This window comes from Homo sapiens, chromosome X (assembly GCF_000001405.40).
Source record: "Homo sapiens chromosome X, GRCh38.p14 Primary Assembly".
NCBI classification, from domain to species: domain Eukaryota; kingdom Metazoa; phylum Chordata; class Mammalia; order Primates; family Hominidae; genus Homo; species Homo sapiens.
This window is the reverse complement of record NC_000023.11, coordinates 107,769,979-107,776,662: the sequence shown is the minus strand read 5'-3', so window position 1 is coordinate 107,776,662 and position 6,684 is coordinate 107,769,979. Positions and strand designations below refer to the sequence as shown.

General features: G+C 49.0%; 1 protein-coding gene across 3 annotated transcripts in view, besides 6 other annotated features; it reads left to right on the top strand.

Annotated features, from left to right (window-relative positions):
- Nucleotides 537-596: a silencer, noted in NCBI's record as "silent region_20932". NCBI's record gives its function as "represses an Ori minimal core promoter by ATAC-STARR-seq in GM12878 lymphoblastoid cells {active_cell/tissue: GM12878}" and the evidence as "EXISTENCE:reporter gene assay evidence [ECO:0000049][PMID:35858748]".
- Nucleotides 537-864: a biological region, named in NCBI's record as "Sharpr-MPRA regulatory region 6089".
- Nucleotides 570-864: a silencer, noted in NCBI's record as "tiled region #6089; HepG2 Repressive non-DNase unmatched - State 4:PromP, and K562 Repressive DNase unmatched - State 4:PromP". NCBI's record gives its function as "represses a minimal TATA promoter and a strong SV40 promoter by Sharpr-MPRA in HepG2 and K562 cells {active_cell/tissue: HepG2 | K562}" and the evidence as "EXISTENCE:reporter gene assay evidence [ECO:0000049][PMID:27701403]".
- Nucleotides 627-676: an enhancer, noted in NCBI's record as "active region_29836". NCBI's record gives its function as "activates an Ori minimal core promoter by ATAC-STARR-seq in GM12878 lymphoblastoid cells {active_cell/tissue: GM12878}" and the evidence as "EXISTENCE:reporter gene assay evidence [ECO:0000049][PMID:35858748]".
- Nucleotides 675-6,684, top strand: part of TSC22D3 (TSC22 domain family member 3) — a 62,768-nt gene continuing 56,758 nt past the window's right edge. Inside the window, exons 1-2 of one of the 3 annotated variants that reach the window (NM_001318470.1) lie at nt 675-883; nt 1,152-1,563. In NM_001318470.1, the coding sequence (NP_001305399.1) occupies nt 1,244-1,563 (320 nt within the window). In that variant the 5' untranslated portion in view covers nt 675-883; nt 1,152-1,243. Of the gene's footprint in view, nt 1,564-6,684 lie in introns of all 3 variants that reach the window. The other 2 variants (NM_001318468.1, NM_198057.3) reach the window with 2 other exon arrangements.
- Nucleotides 953-1,529: an enhancer, noted in NCBI's record as "H3K4me1 hESC enhancer chrX:107018364-107018940 (GRCh37/hg19 assembly coordinates)". NCBI's record gives its function as "activates a minimal SCP1, AML or CMV promoter by ChIP-STARR-seq in naive H9 embryonic stem cells {active_cell/tissue: H9 hESC(naive)}" and the evidence as "EXISTENCE:reporter gene assay evidence [ECO:0000049][PMID:30033119]".
- Nucleotides 1,530-2,107: an enhancer, noted in NCBI's record as "H3K4me1 hESC enhancer chrX:107017786-107018363 (GRCh37/hg19 assembly coordinates)". NCBI's record gives its function as "activates a minimal SCP1, AML or CMV promoter by ChIP-STARR-seq in naive H9 embryonic stem cells {active_cell/tissue: H9 hESC(naive)}" and the evidence as "EXISTENCE:reporter gene assay evidence [ECO:0000049][PMID:30033119]".

The following is a 6,684-nucleotide window of genomic DNA, read 5'->3' as shown; positions in this document are numbered from 1 at the left end:
CCGGGACAGAGACTGCCTCTGAGGGGTTCAGGGAAGAGAGGACACAGCGAGCTGGGGAAAGGAGGTGACGATATCGTTAAGTAAGCAGAAAGAGACAGAAACTGAGGAGAGTTTGAGCGTGCTTCTCTGAGTTTTGCTTACGGCATTTATTGGGTACTCCTAATGTGTGCCTGGCACTCTCTGACTCTCTGCAGAGGCAACCGCTCTCCTTGCACGCCCCCCCCCCAGAAAAAGGGGGGCTTTGGAGGGCGGCAGTTTAAGGCTACAACACTTGGGGCTCTCGAGGGCGTCGTCTCTTCTGTAGGGGGACCCATTCGAGGTGAGACTAGAGACATTTGCCCTCACGCCGAGCTCGAGCCCCGCGAGACCGGGCCACTGAGGGGGCACGGCAGCCCGGGTGGGCTGCGTGCGTATTTCTGGCGGAGGATGCGCCATGAGCGCTGAAAGAGCCTGAACCGAAGCGTCCGGCTCGCCGAGAGAGTGAGAGCCGGGCCGGCTCCCAGGAGCGCGGGCGAGGGTGCGAGCGGCAGCGTGGATGCCAGGGCACAAGGGTGCGGGCGGGGTGGGGCGAGGGGTGGAGGGACAGGATCCAGCCGCTCGGGGCCCCCGCCCGCCAGCCGGAGAAGTGGCGGAGGACCGTTCTCCGCCGTCCCCTCTAGGGTAATTTACATGCTGTCATATCCCAGTGCTGACTCCCGGGCGTGCAGACCGCTAACTAGCTCACTCGCTCTCAGCTCCTGCCACCGCTCAGCCGTCACAGCCCAGGGGAGCCCGAGAGCCTGAGAGCCTGCAAACCGGGGAGGGAGGGAGCAAAGGAGGGAGGGAGCAAGGGCGCGCCCTGGCTCTCCCTCTGCCCTGCTGCCCGCCCTTCCTGCCTCCACAGGTCCGCCCCAATCCCCGCTCACACTTGGGAAACTTGGGACTGCGCTGGGGCCGCGTGTGGCACCTCAGGGGGGCGGCCCCCGGCCTCAAGAGGAGGGGGAGGAGAAGGAGGAAGAGGAGGAAGTGAGCCCGAAGGATCCGCTCGGAGCTGTTTGTCCAGCTGTTTCTATTCGCACCCGGAGCAGTACAGCCAGAAGGGGGCCGAGCCGAAGGTGGCTGGCTTTAGGCGCTAATTTCCAACTCTTTTCCTCACAGCTTGTCTTTTCCAGGCACCCTGGAGTCCCCTCAGGCCAGCTCGGTGGGCGCGCACCTGCCAGCCGCCCCTGACCTCGCAGGCCAGGCGACCTCCGAGCCTGAGAAGATGGCCCAGTCCAAGCTCGATTGCCGCTCACCTGTCGGCCTCGACTGCTGCAACTGCTGCCTGGACCTGGCCCATCGGAGTGGGCTCCAGCGAGGCAGCAGCGGGGAGAACAACAACCCGGGCAGCCCTACAGTGAGCAACTTTCGGCAGCTGCAGGAAAAGCTGGTCTTTGAGAACCTCAATACCGACAAGCTCAACAGCATAATGCGGCAGGATTCGCTAGAGCCGGTGCTGCGGGACCCCTGCTACCTGATCAACGAGGGCATCTGCAACCGCAACATCGACCAGACCATGCTCTCCATCCTGCTCTTCTTCCACAGGTGGGTGGCTCGGCACACGGCGGCAACTCGGTCCTTGCTCCCACCAGCCTCTGCTGCACCCTCATCTCTGGCAAAAGGGGCAACTAGGAAGTTCAGGAGGGGTACTGGGGAGGTCTGACTCAGGCTACAGTGACTGGACCTTGAGGTTGCCTGGAGTACCGCGGAGCTGAGGGGAGGACTGGCAGGTGCAAGCCCTATTCTGAAAGCTGCCTGCAAAGGCTTTCTGATGGGGACGCTGGGGCCTAGAAGGTGGGCAGACCCCAGATGGTTTGGAGGTAGCTGAAAGTACCCGCTCCTCAAATGCATACATTTCCATAGCCCCTTTGGAGATTCTGCCATGGGGTCTTCTTGAGTTCCAAGTTCTACCCTTCTCAAAAGCCCATCTCAAATGTGCAAAATCAGATTGAAACTACAAGGGCTTTAAAATTACTGAGTGCCCCTGACTGACAGTGAGGGCAAGCAAAATGTCAAGACAAATTAAACTGCTGGTGGTAGGAGAGGGAGATGGGGAGGGGAAAATTTTTAAAAATCAGAGACTTGTGAGAATTTCTTGAGCCTCTGGATGGGAGGGATTCGCCTCCTCCATGGATCACAGCGTTAAATTTCAAATGTAAGCTAAGCGCAACCCCAGAGAGCACCCTAGGACATCTTGAGTGCCTCAAGAACTATGTGTGGCAGGAGGGCGGATGAATCCATGTCGTTGCAGGCGTGTATTGGTGTACCGGTCAAGCTTTCTAGAAATCCTGCTGGGGAGGCAAGGAGAGGACAAGGGAGGGAAAAAACACAATGGGAAGACCCAAGGCAGCTGCTGTCCTTCAGTTTGAGACACTCTGGCAAGAACCAGTCTCTGGGAACAACTGAGGCAATTTAGAGGCAGGGCAGACAACATCAGGAAACCCAGCCATGGATTTAGTGTCCTTAGCGCCATCAGGATAGGGCACCAACATGTGTGTGTGAGTGTATAAGCGAGGATTTATTCTTGCTCAACAACACAGGTTATGTAAGAGAAAGACATCGCCACTGTGGGAGACCTGGGTTGTAGTACAAGTTATGGCTTCACCTGTTTGTATGAGCCTGAGCAAGTCGCCTGACCTCTCTAGTCTCTCCAAGGTTCCTTTTAGCTCTGAGATTCTAGGCTGTAGGCAGGCGATGTGCCCAGACAAAGTGATAAGAAATTCTGAGCACCTACAAAATATTTAGAATGCAAGCAGGCTCAAATAGGAAATTTTAAAAGCAATCGAGAAAGGCAGGCGCTATTCTCACTTAATGCTAAGAGCAGGTTTGCCTCCCTTGCCCCAAGACAAATCCACCATCGCCTCCCGCTCAGCCCAGCCCCAGTGATTCTGGGCAAGACAAGCAGGGCCGCTAACCTCGTTAGTGTTATTATAACAAGTCGTATTCCTCGGGCATTTTCGACACCATTGAAGCCCTTTCTCATCTATTATTTCACTTTAGGCATCAAATTATCTCATTGTCTAAAATAAACCAGGCTGAATTTTTAAAAATAATAAAATAAAATAAACCAGGCTGCGGGCAGAAAGGTTTCGAGGGAATCTTCATTTCTAGTGAAAGATTACTACAAGTGTATTCAGCCCACAGACGTTGAAATCCTGCCAAGCGAAAGCCCTAACAGGCTCCTAAGGATCCCGCCTGTCTCTGTTGGAGAGTGGCAGTGGGGGAGGGGTAGTAGAAAAACCTGGAAAGAGCGCTTGTAGCATTTGCATTTGTTCAACTGGGAGAGAAACTGCCACTCCAGGCTTTAGGAAAGTGTGAGAGGGGGCGCCTCTTCTGGTTCTGGCCCTAGGAGGGTCAAACCTGGGTGAGGGAAGTGTGAGGCTAAAAGCCTGAGATCAAAGTGTTTCCTTCTGCCACACCTCGGGAGCATCCTGGTTGTTTGGGTTTGTGGAAAGGGAATACCTCCTTTGTCATCTACTCCACTAATACGAGTTTATTGACTCTTGGTTTTAGGCAAAGCCTGGAAATGCTACAGGGTGGAGATGTAGTGGGGTGGCATTATAGGTATTGGTTGAGGGAGAAGCGCAAATTGTAGGAAAGGTTTGTGTGAGCACCCTGCCTCCTTCGATCAGAGCAACTCACTCAGCGTTCAAAACCAGTGAGGAGCTAACCAGCAAGCTCTCAGGCTTCGCTAAGGCTGGGAATAACAGGGTCCTGTGGTAACAGTCTTATAGTTCTAAGAGGACAAAGTATTCTCTTGCTTTTATTTATTTTTATTTATTTATTTTTTTCCTGAGACAGGGTCTCACTCTGTCACCCAGGCTGGAGTGCAGTTGCATGATCACAGCTCACTGCAGCCTCAAACTCCTGGGCTCCATCGATCCTCCCACTTCAGCCTCCCAAGTAGCTGGGACTACAGGCACACACCACCATGCCCAGCTAATTTTTGTATTTTTTTTTTATAGGGACGGGATCTTGCCATGTTGTGCAGGCTGGTCTCAAACTCCTGGGCTTAAGCGACCTGCCCACCTCAGCCTCCCAAAGTGCCAGGATCACAGGCATGAGCCACTGATCCCCTCTTGTTTTCCTTGACAATTGGGACCTTAGAGACTGGGGATTCTGAATTCGGTTTAGGTTTTGCCCAGTATGACATGCTCATTAGCAAACTAGAAGACCATTATTGCTGGTCATGGGGCTTCTCCAATATCTGGGGTAGACAGCCTTCTCCTAAGTGAACATATCCCTTGTTACTTCATTAAATTCCCTGGGTTTCTATCATCATACTTCAGCCATCGTTTTTACTTCTATTCAATTTAATGATTTGACATTTCAGGTTCCTGTTGGGTGCTTTTTTCCTTTGTCAACTTTCAAGGCCTCTCCTGCTGGAGAAGCTAGTCTCCCACCCCTCCTCCTGCAGTCCATTCCTTTGCCAAGAGGGCTCCTATATTTTTAGGAAGAAGAGCAGGGCACATTCTTGATTTACATCTGGTTTGTCTGCTTTGACCTGTCCCTGGCTCCCAGCTTCGTTCTTGGTTTCCTTGGAACACAAGAGTATAAGCAATTTGAGGGTAGGGCTGTGTTTTACTTGCTTGGTTTTCCCTTGGCTTTTAGTTATACAGCCAATATTCAATAAAGGTTTCTTCAGTTGGATGACTACTTAAATATTGACGTGGTCCCTTGTAAAGATTTTACAACTTTATACTGTGCTAGAAAATCCTTATTAATGTTTAAAAGTTGTTTTCCTTCCGTTTTAACCACATGCAGTAACTCTCATAGCCTGATGGAAGTCCTGATAGTGCTGTGTATATACATACGAATCAGTGAGAATGGGCATGCAGCCTGTTGGTATGTAAATGGTACCTGTAAACAATTGGGTTGGGGAAGAAGTGTATTTTAAACACCATCCTTTCAATCTTGTATTATGTAACTAATAACCATAACAGATTAATAACTAACACTTCTTGAACATTCACAATGTACCTGCATAATCTAATTTAATATTTACATCAACTCTTTGGAATGGATTTATTTATTTATTTGTTTATTTATTTATTTATTTTGAGACGGAGTCTTGTTCTGTCGCCCAGGCTGGAGTGCAGTGGCACGATCTCAGCTCACTGCAGTCTCCACCTCCTGGGTTCAAGCAATTCCCCTGTCTCAGCCTCCTCAGTAGCTGGGACTACAGGCGCACGCCACCACACTCGGCTAATTTTTGTATTTTTCGTAGAGATGGGGTTTCACCATATTAGTCAGGCTGGTCTCGATCTCCTGATCTCAAATGATCCACCAGCCTCGGCCTCCCAAGGTGCTGGGATTACAGGCATGAGCCACTGCGCCCGACCAAATGGGTACTATTATCATCCATTTTCATTTTATAAAGAAGGAAATTGAGGCTTGGAAAAAATTAAGTATCTTGCCCAATGCCTCACAATGAAGAGCAGAGCCTGAATTGTCTATGAAGAAAGAATTGTTAAGAACACTCAGTAACTAAACTAATGCTAAAGAAATTCTTGTAACACTTAAGAATTGTCTATGAAGCAGAGGTAAATGTGAGCTCAGAACCTTTCCAAATGGTCAAAATGTCCTTATTAGGTAGGGAAACCAACCATCCCAGTCCTGTGACATAGGACTGCCTGTGCTCAAACTGGAACAGTCCTAGGGAAACTGGGATGGTTGGTCACCCTGTTGTTAGGGGACTTCCCCCTTGTCATTTGAATATGCTTCTAATACTGGAAAACTTAGGAGGGAGATAGAATATTCTGGGCAAACAGCAGAAGTTTCCAATTTAAATGTAGCATATGAAAAAGCTTCCCAAGTTGACATTTGAAGAGCCTTCCTTAATTTTTCTGACCTGTAAGGTATAACAACCTGTAACAGGAGCTTTGACAGTATTCGTTGTGATTGCTGTTGCTGTAACCTCAAATTTTTTTCTAAGATTTTACCCAAAACCTCTTAATCAGCTCTATTCTACCTTTGACCCCAGAGCGTACCTGGCTAGTGTGGTCTGAAATACTCTGAATCCGATTTCCCTTCCAGCTCTAAAAACCCTAGGATTCTACCTTTAAGCTTCTGACCTGGCCCCAACTGGTTCCCATATATAAATGCTCAGAAAATGATAAAAATAGCAAACATTTCTAATTGCTTTATGTGTGCTAATTCATTTAATATCCCCTATTAATATAGTAACAAAGGGGAAGGATATAGATTCAGAGATCAGGTTTTCAAGAAAAATTTGTGCAAAAAATTATTTGTGCTTCTCTAAGTGAGTCTCAGAACAAGTAATTTCATAATGTATATTCCTGGACCTGGCTTCTGAGGTGGTGGCCACTCACACGGCATGATTTGAGTGGCTGCCTGCTGCAGTGCCTAAGTTCATACTATTTAAGATTCAGTTCTCTGTCCATGTACCATCTAAAATTCCTCTCCCAGAGCACCGCTGGTATGTAGACCACACTGTGAGAAACCCTGTATTAGAGATTGCAACGCATTGTCAACTAATTTACCATTTGATTTTGAGGATGGAGTTACTCGCTGTAGAGCGGTTTTGGGTTTCTGTGTGGTTAAGCCTGTCATTCTTTGCCTTTGTGATTTTTGCTTTTGGTATCAAGCTTCAAAAGTCCTTTCATAGCCCAAAGTAATTTAAAATAACTATTTCCTGAGTGCCTA